Source organism: Homo sapiens, chromosome 7, assembly GCF_000001405.40.
Source record: "Homo sapiens chromosome 7, GRCh38.p14 Primary Assembly".
Lineage (NCBI taxonomy): Eukaryota > Metazoa > Chordata > Mammalia > Primates > Hominidae > Homo > Homo sapiens.
Genome location: NC_000007.14, coordinates 122,506,780 through 122,526,939, shown reverse-complemented (window position 1 = coordinate 122,526,939; position 20,160 = coordinate 122,506,780). Strand labels below are relative to the sequence as shown.

Sequence of the window (20,160 nt, the reverse complement as noted above, 5' to 3'; positions counted from 1 at the left end):
AGTGTCTGCCATATGAAGGAACAGTGCTGGACAATGAGGATAGAGTGGTGAGTCACAGCTGATATGGCCCTTGCCCTCATGGAGTTTGCAGTCTTGTGTGGGGAGTAAACATTAGTCAAACAATCTGCTGGCCATGACTTTGTGGAAGAAATGTCTACATGTCACCTAGTTGGTATAATAAAGGAATATGACCTAATTAGCAATGCAGAAAGTTCTCTGAGAAAATGATAGTTGAGCTAAGAAGACGGTAATAAATGGGAAATATGAGACTCAAGAACTAAATCAATTTAAAAATAAGTGTTAGAAATGGATGAAATTGTACAATGTGTGGGACAAATGGGGTGAAACACACTACATGTGAACAATTGGAAGAGTAGTGAGAACCCAGAGAGTATTTGTACAGAGGAGTTCTTCGTGTCAAAGGAAGACAATAAAAATATCAAAGAAGACCAGGCGGGATGGCTCATGCCTGTATTCCCAGCACTTTGGGAGACTGAGGCAGGCAGATCACCTGAGGCGAGGAGTTGGAGACCAGCCTGGCCAACATGGTGAAACCCCATCTCTACTAAAAATACGAAAAATTAGCTGGGCATGGTGGTGCATGGCTATAATCCCAGCTACTCAGGAGGCTGAGGCATGAGAATTACTTGAACCCGGGAGGTGGAGGTTGCAGTGAGCCGAGATTATGCCATAGCACTACAGCCTGGGCAACAGAGTGAGACTCTGCCTCAAATAAATAAATAAATAAATAAATAAATAAGTGTATCAAAGGATATCAACACAGTGTTTATCCATGTGAGCAACTGCAGAAATGTCTCTGACCAACTAACACGTCAAGAATTCAAGCACAAAGTATCAGAGAAAGTTTAGCAAGAACAAGAGCAAAGCTGTGTCCTCAGCCTGGGGTATTGGGCAGCTTATCAAAACAACTGCTGGCACACAGCTCATAATGATATTTTGTCAATGACTGATGGCATATATGACAGTGATCCCATAAGATTATAACCTTTTTTACTGTAGCCTATGTTTAGATATGCTTAGAAACACAAATACTTGCCATTGTGTTACAATTCCTACAGTCACAAGCTGTACAGGTTTATAGCCTAGGAGAAATGGGCTGTACCATGTAGCCCAGTTAATTTCTCAATTAACCATAATATAATAACCAGTTAATAACTCAACCGTATGGTCCAGTTAATTTCTCAAAGTATGTGCTAGGTATGTAGTAGGCTGTACCATCTGGGTTTACGTAAGTCTACTCTGTTACCTTCTCACAAAGACAAAATTGCCTCATGATGCATTTTTCAGAAGGCCTCCATCATTCAGCGATGTATGACTGTATTTAAACACAAGGGAGCAGGGCAGGGACTGAGACACTGAAGCCAAAGGATGATATCAGAGCTGGATTAACAGCAAGCGTATCTTACTGCTCAGTTCCTCCAGCCTTGAATCAGAACTCCACAAGCCTCCTTGACTACCGACAAGATTGGTCACAAAGTGTAAAGTTGAAGTTCAAGTGACATAGTTTTCGTAGAAGAGGCTATTGGGAAGGGAAATCTGTGAAACATGCTGAGTGTTAGGAGGAATTTAGGTACCTTTGTAAATAAGTTACAGGAAGATGTTACTCTAAAGACAGACATAGTTTGTTTACTAAATTTCAGAGCTCTGCTAAAATGTCCTCATTAGCCAAGACCAGAGAGCAACATACTAGAAGAAGAGGCCTTTCAGGAACCAAGTATAGTCCATGGAGATTATGATCAAAATTTTAAAGAAAACTTTTTAAAGAATTTTTTTTTTTTTGAGACAGGGTCTCACTGTGTTGTCCATGCTGTGGTCCAGTGGCACTATCATGGCTCACCACAGCCTGGACCTCCTAGGCTCAGGTGATTCCTCCCACCTCAGCCTCCTGAGCAGCTGGGTCCACAGACACATGGCTAATTTTTTTATGTTTCTTGTAGAGATGGGGTTTTTGCCATGTTGCCCAGGCTGGTCTCAAGCCCCTTGGCTCAACAATCCGCCTACCTCAGCCTTCCGAAGTGCTGGGATTATAGGCGTGAACCACCACACCCAGCCCCAAACATACATTTTTATAGATACGTAGTAAAAATATGTTAGAAGTGAAGATGGTATTTTAATTATGACTAGGATATTAGTTAATTCCAAACAATGTAAAAACCCAGTTATATAATTTTATTGCTTAAAGACTCATTAACAGTAATCTAGTCCAGTTAATTTCTCAAAGTATGTGCTAGAGAACATGACTGTTACAGATATTCTATGGAAAATATTCTGCACTTTTGGAGATACCACATACACTATTCTCCCCTACCTTTGCACATGTCTGCTACAGGCTCTTAGAAGTCCTTAATAAATACAGAACTTGCTTAGTTTTGTTTAACTGAGTATTCCTCACATTTATTTGCCATTCTTTTTCTTCACAGTACCTCCTTGTATCCAGATGTTCCAAGACACACACTGTGGAAAACACTGTATCTCAAACTGTCATCTTAATTATTTTTTTAGAGTGTATGTAGTTTATAGAATGGGCATTTTATGTACATATTTCACTTGAAATTCTGAATATGAAAAAGGGAGACCGATACCTACATTTCCAAAAAAAAGGAAATGAAGGCCTAACATATTTGTGTTAATTCAGGATTACCTGTATTACATGTAATGTTAAATAACATTTGATCATTTTGTTATATCTTGGGAATAATGTGCCCTAAAAGAGAATGTATTTTTATTAGTCAACATGATATGGTTTGACACATAAAAGCCTTTGCTAAACCTTTTGTTTCTTGCTAAACTATTTACGTTTTCAGGGAAAGGAAAGCTTAATAGAGTATCTCACAAAAATGTCTAGGATTGCATAAGTAAATCATTTCCTTTTAATTGTTAGATGCCTCAGAGACTTTTTGCCAAGAGATGCAAAATGTCCTTTTCTTTGGAATGTGCCATAGGCTTACTCCCAGAGACATTCAGATTTTCACAGTCCCAGTCCTCTTCCTAGAGGATGGAGGAATAGACCTCTCTGCAAGTTTGCCTGGTTGGGGTAGAGGGGGCTACTCAGTAAATTCTTTGGACATTTTTCCCATTTATTTACTTCTGAGACATTTTATAATCAGCTTGGAAAGCCTACTAATTTTCTTTAACTTTTAGCAAACAGTGAAGCATGTGTAGACAAAAATTTTGAAGGGTATTTAAATTGAGGAAAAACATGAAACCATGCTTTATGAAATATGCCTCCTGTGGTAGAATATATTGAGGTAATGCATATATTAATTAACTTCATTTAGCCATTTCACAATGTACACATATTTCAAAACATGTTGCACACCATAAATATATACAATTTGTTGGTTGATTTTTAAAAATAAAAAGGAATAAAGACCTAACATATTTATACAGTCGTATAAATATCAGCACTGATCATGAACCACTTAAAAATATTTATCAAGGTACTTCTTTTCTGCTAATTGAGATATAAAAGAATGCCAATGACCAGTTAGCAAAGAAAAATATCAGGAAAAACTGTCTTTTAATAAAATATTTATCTGCACAGTTTGATTTAGTTGGGTTATTTGGCTTATATTTATTGAAAACTACATTTTATAGAATTAATTATTTTTCTAGTTGTTTTATTTCTAGGTGACAGTGCATTGACATCTATATTAAGATATATCCTTTAATAATGATCAATTGTAAAATGCTGGAGAAGATATGGAGAATGGGAACTCTTATATACTGTTGGTGGGAATGTAAACTAGTACAGCCATTATGGAAAACAGCTTGGAAGTTTCTCAGAAAACTAAAAATAGAACTATCATGTGATCCAACAATCCCACTAATGTCTGTTTATTAAAAAAGAAACAGAAATCAGTGAATCAAAGAGATACCTGTACCTCCATGTTTATCGTAGCATTGTTCTCAGTAGCCAACATATGAAATCAGCCTGTTTATCAACAAATGAATGGATCAAGAAAATGTGGTACATGTACACAATGGAATACTATGTAGCTATAAAAAAGAATGAAATCCTGTCGTTTGCAGCCACATGGGTGAAACTGGAGGTTATTATATAAAGTGAAATAAGCCAGGCATAGAAAGACAGATGGCACATGTTCTCACATGTAAAAGCTAAAAAAGTTGATCTGTGGAGATAGAAGTTAGAATGATAATTACCAGAGGCTGGGAAGGGTGTTGGGGGTGGGGGATGGGGAGGATGGGGCTGAAGAGAGGTTGGTTAATGTGTTCAAACATATAGTCACATAGAAGGAATAAGTTCTACTGTTTAATAGCACAATAGGGTGACTATAGTTAATAATAATTTATTGTATGTTTTTAAATAGCTAGAAGAGAAGATTTGAAATGTTCCCACTACAAAGAAATAAATGTTTGAGGTGATGGAGATCCCAAATATCCCGATTTTACCATTACACATTTTATGCATGTATCAAAATGTCACATGTATCCCATAAACATGTAAAATACATATCAGTAAAATTTTTTTTTAATAAAAAGGGGCCAGATGCAGTGGCTCACACCTGTAATCCCAGCACTTTGGGAGGCTGAGGTGGGCAGATCACTTGAGCTCAGGAGTTCCAGACCAGCCTGAGCAACATGGTGAAACCCCGTCTCTACCAAAAGTACAAAAATTAGCTGGGTATGGTGACATGCCTCTGTCATCCCAGCTACTCAAGAGGCTGAAGCACGAGAATCTCTTGAATCTGGGAAGTGGAGTTTTCAGTGAGCCAAGATCACACCACTGTACTCCAGCCTGGGCAACAGAGTGAGACTCTGTCTCAAAAATAAATAAAATAAAATGAATTATTTTGCAAAAAGAGAAAAAAAAGAATGATCAGCTAGAACTGCATCAGCAGTTCTTGATGTCTTATCTGAGGGTGGAATGGGGTTTTATGGTCTTATCTGGGCAGTTTGCCTTCATTCATTTTCTAGATTTTGCTATAGCAAGCAAATTTTTAGTATAGTTTTATACTGTCTTAAACTGTTTTAAACTGTTACAGTGCTGATATGAGCTGAGGCTTAACTTGGATTTAACTGAGATGAAACTAACAGAAGGTAGAACTTCTCAGGAAAAGGAAGAGGGACAATTCTATAAAATGTGATACCTAATATAAGTGAAGAACTCTATGTTTTATGCATTTGCTTTTAGGAATCTCCTGTTTATATAGCACATAAATTTTAAGTTCTTGCTCAACAATAGGAGTTATTGGTTTTTCTTTAGTCATAATTTCTCCACAAATGTTATGTAATTTTGTTTGATGAAGATCCTTTCCATGCATCCCCACCTCTCTTTTACTGTTTCCCATAATAATTCAAGCCTATAATAACCAACCAGAAAGTATTTACTTCTAAGTTTCTTAATGCCCAGGTCCCAGTGTTGTCTGGAATCAGTTTCTTTTTTCATCCTTAGTTGAAACAAGCCCCCCCACCTCACCCCCCCGCAAAAAAGTCTTAATCTTGTGGGGTCAAATAAAAGAAAGAATGTAGTGAAAGGAAGATTCCTTTTATGCAAGCAGCAGAGAACTTGTAGGGATGACTGAAAGTGCCTGAGGGCATTTGGTCCCTATTGGTTTTCACTTCAAATGCAATGGTGCCCACAGATAGCCTGTATTGTTGTCAGTTAAATGGGATCATGAGTGTCTGAAAGGTGTTTGAGAATGAACCGAAAATCATTTTCACAAGTGGATGATTACTTCTGCCACATGTTAACCGAACTCTATCCGAATGGCCCAGATTTTTGAGCCTGCATTAATTGCTCTTTCAACCTTGACTGAGGTTTCTCTTATGAAAGCCCTTTCCAGGACTAAACTACTCTATATATTGATTTTTTTTTCTTTCTGTATTGTTCCTTGAAAAATGAAGGCTTGTAGAAGAAAAGGCTTTATCATTCAACATGTAAATTGATTGTTGCATTTCTTTGAATAAAGCGCTAGACTCATAAGTGATCCACCAAAATTAATAGTTCTTTTTTTCAGGCACCAAATAATTCCCATCTTCTGTATACAATTATGTTTTTCAAATATTCATTAGTGATGATTTTTCATCATAAAGTAAAACCATGAACTCTCACAGCATGGACTGAGTGCAAATAAATTGTCATATTCTCATTTCTATTAGAATTGTGTGCTACCATTCTAATTGAAACTAAACTACAATATTTAGTAATGTGTTTGGAGAATTTGTGTGTGTTGAAGTATTCTTTGAACAATCTTCAAGTTAGAAAGGTTTGATAAAGTGCTTTTAAAGTGTTTGGGTAAGCGAGTTCTTTATTTCATTTTACTCTTTTCTATATAAAATCTGGCATAGAGAATATTAGCTATGTCTTTACTATTACTAGAATAATATGGGATATAGTTCAAACATATTGTGATATGAAGATGAGTTAAATCTCAATTTTTTAATCAGAAAATGAGTTCTTAAAATGTCATTGACTTTTGTGATTATAAATGTTAGCCAAGAATATATAGTATTTAAAGGAAAATGGCTTAATGGTTAAACTTACTTCTGATGTTTTTGGCTTAAAAGAAAAGAAATCAGAATATTACATATGAATCTACTTAAAAAAAAAACACACACATTCAACCGGGTACTATGTAAAGACAAGCATTTTAAAATAGTTTTGTCGTATAAGCATTGCAGCGTTAATGCTTGAAATTTATTTTTACTAAACTTCATTTTACTCAATAAATCTATTGCCAAGAACCATTTTATTGGTACTAAAATACATATGTTAATGATCAGGAAATCTTTCTAAAGAAAAGTTTTTGTTCCTGCTGTCACGGAACATTCTGATGGATTTCATAAAGACTATTTTTGTTTGCAAATGAAAGCTTTTAGAAGTAATTGTGGTGTTATCTTCCAGCTACCTTATTAATAGTTGACTCTTTTAAGAATCATGTTGACATGTTTACACCAAAAAGATTGTAGGTACTGAGATATGCTAATGATTATATATAACTACAGATATAGAAGATTTTTAAAATATACTATTTGCCTTGTTGGTAGTAACTATTTTGGCTTAAGGACTGGCCATTTCCTTTAAAAAAAAATCAATTAGGCAAATACCATTTAAAAAAATGTTTTCTCTTAACTTTTTTCCCAAACAGCATAAAATATATTCTACACATCTACATCATATATTAAATATATAATCAAAAATTTGAAAGTTTAGTTTCTTCATATCTCTGATATTTGATGATACAGTGTGACCTAAGGATAGCTGGATTTTTTTTTTAAGTCATAGATGAATGAAACTGGAATATATTTAGTTGTCTTTGTGCTTTGTTTCCTAGCAATCAGTTGTGTGTTTCTTTGGAGCAAATAGTGCTCTCCGTTTGAAATAACCCAAGAGAGGGATTAATACTTTATGATTATTGCTATGTTTATACTGACTGATAGAACTAAATGCTTCAAGGCTTTACTCTTGTGTGTTAAATCTGAGCTTTGTTTCAGTGCTGCTAATTTCTTTGTTACCTAATCCCATGCAAGAAGAAAAGATTTTAAAGTTAAGCAGGCAATTGTTGTTGTTGTTGTTGTTCAAAGGGAACAACTGCTTAATACCTTGCTTTAAGTTGGATGTGTTCATGAAAACAAATACTTTAAATAGTATCTGGGCAGTTATTTTAAAATAATCCAGAACACTCTAGTTACCTGAGTATTGTGATGCATTGGAAATAGTTCAATAGAAAAAGTGTTATATTTAAATTAGCTTTGGAAATATGTGCTTGTGAAAATGTCATGTACAATGGGATACCTCTTTTAACCCCATTCAAATAATTCTTGGATCAAATTTAACTTTGATTGGGGATTCCCTCCCCCGCCCCAACCCAGGGCCATTTGCTAATAGAGTACTGGAGAATGTAGCATGGCCATGAAAACTGATGATATTTGTGTTCTTTTGTTTTTCCATATATTTCTGATTTAACTAAAAGAATTTGACAAAGATGACAACAAAATATTTAAAACCAAATTCTGTAGGTTGGTGGAAATTAATGTTAAAAAGCCCTCAGACACACACACAAAATCTGCTTTCCTCTTTAAAATCACGTGAAAAAAATTCACAGTACTCATTAGAAAATGCTTCTCTCATGCTGTGTGATAGATACTTATTTTATTGGATAACATCATAAATTGTCACATAAAACCCAGTTAAATGTGTGTTCCCAGTTTGACTGGTATTTGGCAGGTCTCATTTACATACCCTTAAAAAAAAACTTCTTTGAGTTAATCACACAATCATGAGGAAGGTAGTAATGACTCAGCAGGTTACAAAATATTGAGGGAGAATACAGCTGCAGCATAGACCCGCTAGCAAATCTCTAGTACACCTAGCCGAGGTACTCTCTCTTCAGCCTGACACACGCATTTCTTAGATAATATTTTTCTATATGTTTATTTGGTAGACTCATACTTTATGAAGCAGTAAAATGCCAATTGTCCAGAATGCAAATGATAATAACATAAAAAACAAATTTTTTAAGACAAGTTAATAGCTATTGAAGATCTGTTAAATTAATGCCATTTCCATTATATGTCAAATAAATGGTTACATTTAATTTTATCAGCTGTGCATTTTCCTTTTACAGCATTATGTAGTTATTATAATTTATTTTTATAACAGTGACTCTCAGATGCTATGGGATCCTTCCTAATCATTAAAGATCAAGTTATATTTTCTAACTATTTGAGGTCAACTTGATTTTTATATGCAAAGTCTTTAAAAATTGGCTATAGATATATATACAGTCTTTCTATATAGAGTAACTCATGTTTCTGTAATTAAAGATACTGGAACCTGTAAATGTAATGAACAAAATCTATTGCCTAGTGGAGCATAATATCAGGTTAAATGTAACTTTTGTATATTTTTCTGAAATAGAAATCATTTTGGCCTTAGATACCATAAAAAAAATCATAACAACACTGAACATTAAGAAACAACAACAACAAAGAATAGTAATTCAACAGCAATGCCAAGCATAAGATGGGTTAGGAGAAAATGCTTTTTTAGTTTTGTAGATGTTTTCTAATAAATGGATTATCTGATAGTTACCAAACAGTAAAAAGATTTTCGCTCCATTTTCCTCATTCCCTCCACATTCCAGCCCTTCTGAGGTAAAAAGATTACCCATCTACAAGGAATTTAGACTACTCTAAATTCCAAAACTTGAGAATGACCTTGGAAACTAGAAAACCCATTTAAGCATGAAAGCTTATAGGATGTCTCCACTGTACTCAAGATAATGAGATAAAGGACTTTATCTTTGGTCTCTAAATATTCAACTTGGTTGTACCAGAAATACATATTTATAGTCATAATGACTACATCCCCCTAATATTTAATAATGGTAACCTTCTCTGATTACAAAAGTAAGATGTACCTTTATACATTTGCTGATGGTAACTCAAAATGGTATAGCCAGTTTGGAAAACAATTTGGCAGTTTCTTGTAAAGTTAAACATGTACTTTCAATACGACCCTACAATCCCACTCCTAGGTATTTACCCAGGAGAAATGAAGACATGCCTACACAAAAAGACTTGTACACAAGTGTTCATAATAGCTTTATTTATGATATCCAAAGAAGTGAAAACAACTTAAATGTCCACCAACTAGTGAATAAACACATTCTTGCAAATCCCTACAATGGAATATATTGCTTAGCAATGAAAGGAGTGGGCTTCTGATATTAACTACGTACAGCAATATGGATGAATCACCAAAGCATTCTACTCAATGAAAGAAGTCAGACAGAAAGGCTACATACTGAATAATTCCAATTATATGTTGTTCTGGAAAAAGAAAAATTATAAAATCAGAAATCAAATGAGGGGTTGCCAGAGCTAGGGATGTAAGGAGGGGATTGATCATAAAGGGCATAAGGGAACTTTTGGGGAGGTGGAAATGTTCTATAAGTTGATTGTGGTGGTGGTTACATGACTGTGTCAATACTTATCAAATTAGATACCTGAAACAGGTAATTTTACTTTATGTAAACTATACCAATAAACTACTCAAACAATAAAAGGAAGACATGGCCAATATAGACATTGTGGAATTATAGAAAGGCATAAAGAATAATATGAAATTCATCTTTAATTTCACTTGCCAGATATTAACTATAAGATTAACATTTTGTTGCATTTTTCCGGATATTTCTCTATGCATATAATATGAATTTGTATGACTGCTTTTTTAAAACCTAACATTATAAGAATTTTCCCATATCATTAGTAATTCTTTATCTGGCCTCACTTTTAATGGCAAAATTATTATTTTTTAATTTTTGATTTTTAGATTGTTTTTGAGTGTTTATTCTTAAATAATATTGATGAACATTTTTATCTTCATTCCTTCTTCATGTATTTACTCTAAGAGACAGGATCTTGCTCTGTCACCCAGGCCGGAGTGCAGTGGCATGGTCATAGCTCAGTGCAGCCTCCAAAACCTAAGCTTAAGGGATTATCCTGCCTCAGCCTCCTCCCAAGTAGCAAAGACAAGTGTGTACCACTGCATCCAGCTAATTTTTATTTTTATTTTTGTACAGACAGAGTCTGGCTATGTTGCCTAAGCTGATTTTGAACTCCTGTTCTCAAGCAATCCTCCTGCCTTGACTTCCCACAGTTCTGGGACTACAGGCATGAGCCACTGCATCTGGCTCTTCACTCATTTTTCAATGTGTTTCTTATGCTAAGAAACTGCTTTCATACCAGTGAAATAGCAGCTAGATAGGGATACTTGATACCTAATCCCAGAAATCATCATTTAAATGCTTACCTTGGTTCCAATCACAAATTCTCTTTTATTCTGTTCCTTATAACATCTTCTACTAACCCCTAATACAACATGTATGTATCCATCTGTCCCCCTGCTTTCTGTCTTCAAAGAAACCATATATTTTAATCCAATTTTGTTAATCTGTCATTTTGATGATGTTGCAGCTGATTATTATTCTTTTTTTGCATGTTTTTTTTCCAAATATATTTTTAAACTTTTTAATAAAGAAATTAACAAAATTGACCAAATGTCAGGTGAAAGAAAGCATATTAATCTTAAATACATATAATTATTATTATTTTTTAATTAATTTTTTTATTATACTTTTAAGTTTTAGGGTACATGTGCACATTGTGCAGGTTAGTTACATATATATACATGTGCAATGCTGATTATTATTCTTTATGCAGGACCTTCACTGTCAGCAAGACTGACACTGAGTAGCTTGTGGTGTTGATGGTTTGTGTATCACTATTTACTTTCACTTGTATATGACCCAGTTGCCCAACAGTCTGCAAAGTGAGACACTTGGAAAGAGCTGAGAAGCAGGCTGTGGTTCCAGGCAAAGGTCATTCCAGATGCTCTCTGTGGCTCCAAGCCAGCTATTTGGTGCATATCTTGCTAGTTCACTTTCATAAAAGGCACCTGTCATGTCCACAGCATCTAGCTCCCGAGGTCATTGCTGTTAACCCTGAAATAAGAGCTTGGATATGTGCATTTCAAAACAGGAAATTGCAGAGAAAGACAGAAAGAGAGCAACTAAATACCTGTCACTAGAACCACAGAGAAGAAATTAGAAGCTAGAGCAAAGGTGGAGCAAAGGGTTTTAAGGGGTCCTTGAGAAAAAACAATGAACAGGTAAGAATAAGAGCAGTAATGTCTCAGCCAGTCATTAAATGAATTCACATTCCATCCACAAGCACAGATAATGGAATGAATTAACGGTATCATAAATGCTGAATAGAAGTTCACCAAAAACTTCAGTTAGCTGATGTGCTGAAAGAAAATATATAATTGGTTTGGACCATTTGGGTGATGTTTTACAATGCAAGAACTTTGTTTTTATTTTGACTTTTAGTAACTCCATGTTTTTTTCTCCCCCCTGGATTCTGAAAATTTCTGTGAATTTTCAGGGAATAAAGAAGGAAACTTAAATCTGCCATAACTCTACCACTCAAAGATACTATTAGTAATATTTTGGAATTATTTTTACATATTCTTTTACAAGTTCCAAATCATTAACTATGTGTGTAGTTTTGAATCCTACTCTTTTCATGTAATATTACACAATGTGATACTTTCTATGTTATTAATTTTATCAAAAACATAATTTCATTGGCAGCATGGTATTTCTCTGTGGATATGCCAGCACGTATTGACTAATTTTACTGCTGTTGGACATTTGTTATCAGTTTCCAATAATATAAACAACACTGTTCTATGTATCCCTACAGCATACACCTTTATGTGCACCTCCTTATTACCTTAATACATTCAGGAATGAAAGAGTATGACTATTTCGATGTATTGACATGTTATCCTACAAGAAGATCATCTCCCAAGATGTTACACTCCCACTAGTAGTGAATGAGTGCGCATTAATTCCCCACACCTTAGCCAACTCCCTATGTCACTGTTTCTAAAGGGGGGAGGGGGGCAAACAGTATGTTTGTTATGTTTTGCAAAATAGGATTATTTTAATAAGACAGAAATTAAAGATTCAGCCTAAGATTTTAGTTTTAAAAGTTGTGAAAGTCTAAAAATCTTAAGCCCCTAAATAAATAATCATAATGCTCCTTTAAAAAAATCACTCAGAATTGTATATAAATTTCGTTTGAACAGCCTCTGCACTGTTAATCCTTCATTTCAGAATAAAGGATTATAAAATATTGAAAAATCTTTCTTTAGTCTTAAAATTAGGCCTCTGTCATATTTTAAACTTCTAGCAATATTTTCCACTTTTGTAGGGAGTGTGTTTATAATTTTGTGGCATAATTTTGGAATAGCTCTCCACAACATGGTCACACTAATTTTTAATTTCTTCTTTTTCCTCCCTGATATTTCAGTATATCATTTGTATATTCAGTAAGAATAATATTCTCAAATGATTGGCTAATCATTTCAATTCAGCTTACTAAGGTCAATGCAAAGTTGAAGAAAAGCCATGGTTGAAACTATGTAAAACTACCCAATGGCATCTTCGTTACTATCAGAATTTTATAGTTAAAACATTTGCAGTGAGATGCTTTCATAAGTCAGGTAAATCCCATAATGATGGAGCTAGCAGAGACCTTAGAAATCAGCAAATCCATCCTTTCGTTTGATAGGTGAGGACATGGAGACTGAGATTGGTGCAGGCACATTTTGGGGTCACCCAGCTGGACAGTGACCCTTCACCCTGGATTCTTGGCTCTGCAGCTGGCTGCTCCTCAGGGCGCACTACTCAGCTCCAGTCATCTGAGAACTGAAGCATTGATAACCATGTCCTCAATTAATAGCCTTTGTCTCTCCTAAGAATTGCATGTAAGAATAAAATTCCTACTGGTTCTTTGATTATCCTTTCTAATTCCTACTTTGCTCAATTTGTGGTAAGGACTGACAAATTGATAAGTCACATAAATCAATTCCCTTTCGAGAACCCAGAATAAGCTAACTCATTTTGTATCACAGAAGCTGCAGGTTGTCTCACTTTCCAAATGAGCTAAACTTTGCCTTTAGCAGGCTGGTCTCAAAAATAAATACCTATGGAAGAAATGTGATTACATGGAAGCACAACATTATTCATCTGAAGTATTCTTTGGCTTTTGTTTTTCTTTCCAGATATCTGTATGCCCTTGGACAGAAGGTTTGGAAAAGATGGAAAAAACGTTACTTTGTTCTAGTTCAGGTTAGTCATTTTTTCCTGTTAAATAATCACTCTAAGATAGCAGTTCTCAAAATTTGTTTATGTGGGTTATATCTATCAAAATTTACTGTTTTAGAAATTAAAATATGTTTAAGCCACTTTAAATAAAAGCAGTACATTCATTACATGCTAACACTAAAGTTTTTATGTAAAATAACTGTTTTCCAAGCCAAACAATTTAGTGAAATAAGTGGCATTGTTTTATGCTTTTGGACTCTTTACCCTCTGGCTTAATAGAAGGTAACTGTTTTCTTGCATCAGCTTCTGCATTCAATTTTTTGCAATATCAGATAAAATGTAACCTCTGGAAAACTCACCTTTATACTAATGGGAGAAAAAGTGTGAAAAAGACAAATAACTTCTGAATATTCTTATAAAGACAGTTTTGACCTCGTAGACCCTCTGAAAAGATATTGGAGATCTCTGGGATTCCAAGACTATACCTTGAGAACCACTGCATCATTCTATATTTTATATATAAAGCATAATACATATAATCACTGATTTTAATATAAATATATTTGTACTAACTGGCATATTTAATGCAAATATGCTGCCATTTAATGCAAATATGCCACATTTAGTACAAATAAGCCAAGAAATCACCTGTTCACATAAATATGTTTTTAAGTCAACTTGACTGGTGTGTATTTGCTTACGATTGGATTCTGAACATATATTATCAGAACATGCAGTTTGGCTGACTCTTCTTTTGTAGTCATGGATAACTTTGCTCATAGAACATACTAATTAAGTTAAATTTATATTAAAGAATACCCTTCTAAGTAATAGTCATTCCAGTCCATGATAAATCCAAGCTATTTTGTTCCCAATATATGAAAAGAGTATCACTCTTGGAATTCTTAACACAAAACATTCTGTAAAAATCTCATTGATTCCAATGGCACACATTAAACAAGCTTAACTGGACTAGATCAGAATGACATAGTAAAATGCCAAGGAAGGAAAATGATCATTTGCTGTCTTCCAGTGAGTACGTACAGCCATCCATCAATTGCTGGATAAAATTACTTTATTGATGTCCCATGATAGCCTGGTAACTCCATGAAAAGTGTGAAAACTCAGTGAAAAGTAGTTTTATCTACATGGCAAACAACCAGCCTATTTTTTTTTTCCTGGCTAAAAAGTAACCTCTTCTTACATGATTAGAACTAATAGTTGGTCAACTTTAATAAAAGATACATACACGTGCACACACAGATTTAATTTGTTTGTATAGAGCCCTAGCATTTGCTTTGAAAAAGGTTACCTGTTTGGGGTTGTGGGTCATCTATTTTTCAAAAACCTTAAGCCATCTTCTACAGTTTCCACATTTCGTTTCTGACATTGGTGCATGAATTAAAATGTGTTTCCTAAGCAATTTTAATAGATACTTCTGGACACATTTATATCTTATGGATATATTTCATTCATATCTAATTTGACAAAGTTGTGTTAGTGACTTGTCTTTATCAAGTTTTTCTAAAGCATTCAACTGATTTTTCATGGAAACAGCAGCTTCTTTTTCAGTTATTTTATGCATTTATGTAAAATCTCATTTAACTACATGATTTCAATGGCTAATGTTGTTAGCATAAACTAGTTTGGGAACAAACCCAGCTAACTTAGCAAGCATAGGTCTTAACTGGTGGAAATAGGCATGAAAGAACGTGGGAATGTAACCCAATAACCACAGATGTTCAGTATGTTATTTGCATTAGTCGCTGGTTTTTTTTTATTTGATTGTTTTAACTGATTTTTTGAATATGAAAGTTAGGCTTTTGTAGATCAGTCTTAAGAGGTCAAATGATCACCTCATGCTTTTTGCCAGGTAAGGTTCCAAGTAATCTTTTGCCCCTTATCTTATTTTCTAGCATATGATTGTAAGACTCAGAAGTTATAGGGCAAATATGTATACTTTGATTATTACTCATAAGAGAGTTTGGAAATGAAGGAATTGTAAAACTTTGAGACTGTTAATTGGTAGGTTTTTGGGGGAAGATTAACCATGTCTTTGGGGAGCTAAAAGTGTTTTCTCAGTAACAAACATATGCTTTATATCTTAAAAGGGATATCTAAGTTAATTCAAAGTAGGCAAACCCATATGTTTCATAATTTAAATTTAAGAAAGTACCACCAAACTATAATGAATTTGAATTTATTCTACCTGAGGTTTCTTTTTAAAATTTGAAGTCATGTTTAAGCATTATGTATTTACTTTGCACACATATATGTGCATATATCCACATGCATTCATGCAGAGAATTCCATGCCCAAATGAACTGAGAATCCATGCGAGTATTCTGACAAGTTTTAAACACAAGTGAATCTTACATTCAATTCCAAACGTAATGGGAAGGCAAATTGAGGGCACACACTTCAAAATCAAGATGGATATGTATGGAGATTCAATGAGAATTACCCATTGGGAGGAACTGGGTAGTTTTTATTAATATTTTTAAAGGCAGCTCTGATTCTATCCACACACAGTTTGTAGGTCCATACCTGCAGGCTGCATTATTGAAAGGTGAAGGAATCGTTTTCACAGGGAGGACAGTATACCCCTGCTGTGTCTGCCGCTGCCATCGGCAGAATGATGCTCTGTTGATAATGTGAATCTCATCACCACTTGTGAGTGTGTATTATGAGTGATATCACTGGAAATCCAACCATCAGCTCAAGAATTTGTCCTCATAAAAATTGATTGAGAGTAAGGTTTGGCCAGCTGCAAAGTCATTGTTCAAAGTGAACACTCGAGGAGCCACTGAGGTGAAAAGACGTTTCAAAGACTCTCATGTAAACATTTAAATTGGAGTCAAAAGGTGGGAAAATAAATGAGTTGTTAATATTGAGTGTTTATTTGGCTTCCAAGTAAGATCATTTTGGTCTCTGTTTATATTCTGATGCCAATATAGTTATAATAATAAATAGAATTTAATGCTTTCTAAGAGGCCTCTTTTTTTAATGAAGGTAAATTTTGGTTCAAGCCAAATTGAAAGAACAGTGATTTCGAAGAATATGCTTGAAATACTACCAGAATTAAACTTGTATATGTTTGTTACTTATTTTTCTTGTGCTTGCTCAGTGTTTTATTATTAGATTTGGAAGATATCATTGGTGTAAAGTACTTAAGATACTTTAATATATTGTAGTTCATTATTATAAAATAATCTGTTACCTTTAACACTCTGTATTTGAGATTTGAACAAATGAATTATTACTTCATTCTATATTTTGCTAATGCCTATTCAAAAATGTATGTCCCAGGTATTCCATATTCTGTAGTAAATAATTCTGAAGCACTCCCCAATTAACATAATTATTGTTATATTAAATCTAATACTTATTAAGCAAGTACTTTGTGGCAAGCATTTATGTAAAACATTTGTAATACTTTATCTTATCAGAATAAGCCCGTGAAGGTAGGTATTATTATTATACCCATTGTACAGATAAGAAAATAATACAGAGGGGTTATGGAACTTACTCAGGATTATGCAGTTTAGTAAGTTGTAGAGTCAAGCAAATCCAGTTCTGTCAAACTTCTCTTTCCTCTGCCATACTGCTATGATTACATTGATGCACATAACTACAGTTCATCTGAAGACAAACAGATATGTGATTAATCACTATGGATCATTCATTTCATGAAGTACAAAACAGTGTTACTCTATTGGAAAAATGGCCAGGGAGTGATGGTATAATTTGAGTCCTGTGCTCATGAAGGCCACTGACTGTGTGACATCATTGGAAACTGAGTAGACGTCTGTGTTGTTTTGGCCCTGTATCAAAGTGTTCACTGCTTGTTGTTGATGTGTCAGAATCATGACTTGAAGTTTCTGCAAACAACAGTAGGCTATCAAGACATAATGTTAATTACATATCAGCTGAGTTGGCACGGGATGTAAACAGTCAGCCATGCCACAGAGTGATCCATACCTGCTGCAGATGTATGAGAGGCACTCTGTTAGTGGGATGTCATCAAGATCTGCTTTCAACATAAAGAAGTGGCTGCCCATCCTATTGATTTCTGAAATATTCAGCACACATGGGGACCCATTACAGCAGACTCCTCTCACTCACTTGAGAATGAAACTACCACCTGAAGAACATGAAGTTCTGTTATATCCTCTAGGTTTAGTTTGGGACACTAGCTGATGTTTGCTAATGGCAGTAAGATAAAGTGAAGTGAACAGAGATATTGTTGCCAAATCAAGAAAATCATGGCATAATGACTTTATAGCTTTATGCTTTAAATGGGATTAAAATTTACAAACCCAGAACATACTCAGTGTAGGATAAAAATCAAACCATGCAATTTTTATGGTAGAAAATGAAAGGCCCCTTCAACACTCCTGCCAGCACTACCACATTATTCTACTATCCTTTGCAAAAGTCGCCAAGTAGCCATTGCTAATAGTGTGGCCTTCCAAACTTGTTTGAAGGAGTTAGGCACCTTTAATTCATCATTATGTGAAACACACATCCATTCATTCCTAATGGAATCATTTCATATATTTTTATTCTGTGAGTTGCTTTGTTTCCCCTTTAAAAATATATCCATGAGAAGTTGCCATATCAACATATAAGAATCTACCTAAGGCTAGGTGCCATGGCTCCCACCTGTAATCCTAGCATGTTGGGAGGCTGAAGCAGGAGAATCACTTGAGGCCAGGAGTTCAAGGCTGCAGTAGGCCATGATTGCACCACTGCACTCTAGCCTGGGTAACAGAGCAAAACGCTGTCTCCAGAAAAAAAAAAAAAAAAAAAAAAAAAAAAAACTTAAATGAATAAATAAATAACTGGATTCTATATTATAAGTTTATGTACTTTAACAATCCTCCTTCTTTGAACATTTAAGTTTTTTTAATCAAACAATGACACTTTGAATGTGGTTTTTGTTGTGGAGGAGAAAAAAACAATGCCATCATCAATATATGTATAATTCTTGTATATTAATCTTCATATATATGTGGGAGTATTCTTGTAGAAATGAAATTGCTGGCTAAAAATCCACAAAAGTTTACATTTTTGTGAGCTTAATTTTTTTTGAAAATTGTTCTACAAGACTCCATTTCAAAACGCTCTGAGTGTGTGCATGTGTGTATTTGTAAGTATTCATATGCATATATATGTCTTTATATCTACAGGTATGTGTATAAAATTTTCTACACAAGTAGTGTGCCTGAATCTGTACATAGTGGAGAATCTGTAAATATTTGTTATATAAATGAATATTCCCCTTTTAATTTAGGTTACTTCCCAAACTTCTGTAAGGAATATAAAATTGACTTATATTTGAACATACTTAAATCAAAACCTAGGTGTCATGTTTGATCCCTCTTTTTTCCTTACCCTCATGGCAGAAAAGATTGCTGTTCCATAGCAAAAACAGCATTCCATTTACATCCAGTCATCTCCATCTTCTCCACCACCATACTAGTTGAAACCACCATCATCACATGGATTCCTACAATAGCATCCTAGCTGTTCTCTCTGCTTCCACTTCCCTCGTTCTTAACAATAGGTTCTTCACATTGTGGGATAATCTATTTAAAGCATAACTCACATTATGACAATTTGCTGCTTAAATTCTTCCAGGGACTCCCTTTGCACTTAGAATAACTCATAACCGTGTCTTAGAGGAGGTCCTAAATATTCTGGCCTCAAGCTTCCTCTTTGAATAGTTATTTTCTGTCACTGAGCCACGTCTTGACTTCTGCAGCTCTTTCCTCAGATTAATTAGAGTGCCAAGAGTAGGAGTTTAGCACCTTCAAGTCACCAGATACCCCCACCAAAGGCACCTCAAATAAATATATAAACTGGGGTTATTTTTAAATGTGATTGTTGTGTAAATACACCTTTGGATTAAGTCCCTTACTTTTCTTCCACCTAGATTGTTAGGCCACCTCTAAGTCCCTTTATAGAAATTCTGAACATCCTACAGCTTTTATTTTCCCCATGCATGGCTCATTCCTTCATGTCCATTTAGATATCCGTTCAAATGTTGCCTTTTCGAATGTGCCTTTTCCACCCAGGCGACCTGAAGTACCCCTCAACTCATTCTCTGTCACATTATTCTGTTTGATATTGTTAGGGGCATTTATATCCAATTAAATTTTTTTTACATTTATATGTTTATTATTATTATTTTTGTTGTTATCTCTTTACTCCTTCTAGAATGTATACTCCATGAAAAGAAGGATCTTATCTTTCTTTTAGTCTACTTTATCTGTGGAATTTTAAACACTGCCTGGTACATGAGTAGAAACTAAGTATTTGTTAAGTAAATAAATATATGCAAATCATTCTCAACATTGTTCTGAAAAGACTGACTTTTCTTTCTCTAATTTGTACACCGAATACTAACTCTTTTTACACCATTTGGACAACACAGTTAACAATAAATATTCCTGTCCAATCTATCTGGATCTTGAAGATTTATTCATTT

The 20,160-nt window shown here is 34.5% G+C and overlaps 1 protein-coding gene across 29 annotated transcripts in view; it reads left to right on the top strand.

Annotated features, from left to right (window-relative positions):
* CADPS2 (calcium dependent secretion activator 2) overlaps positions 1-20,160 on the top strand; it is a 568,050-nt gene that overhangs the window by 359,521 nt on the left and 188,369 nt on the right. For all 29 annotated transcript variants that reach the window (NM_001363398.2, NM_001009571.4, XM_047421032.1 and 26 more), the window contains one exon: positions 13,625-13,691. In NM_001363398.2, the coding sequence (NP_001350327.1) occupies positions 13,625-13,691 (67 nt within the window). The remainder of the gene's footprint in view (positions 1-13,624; positions 13,692-20,160) is intronic.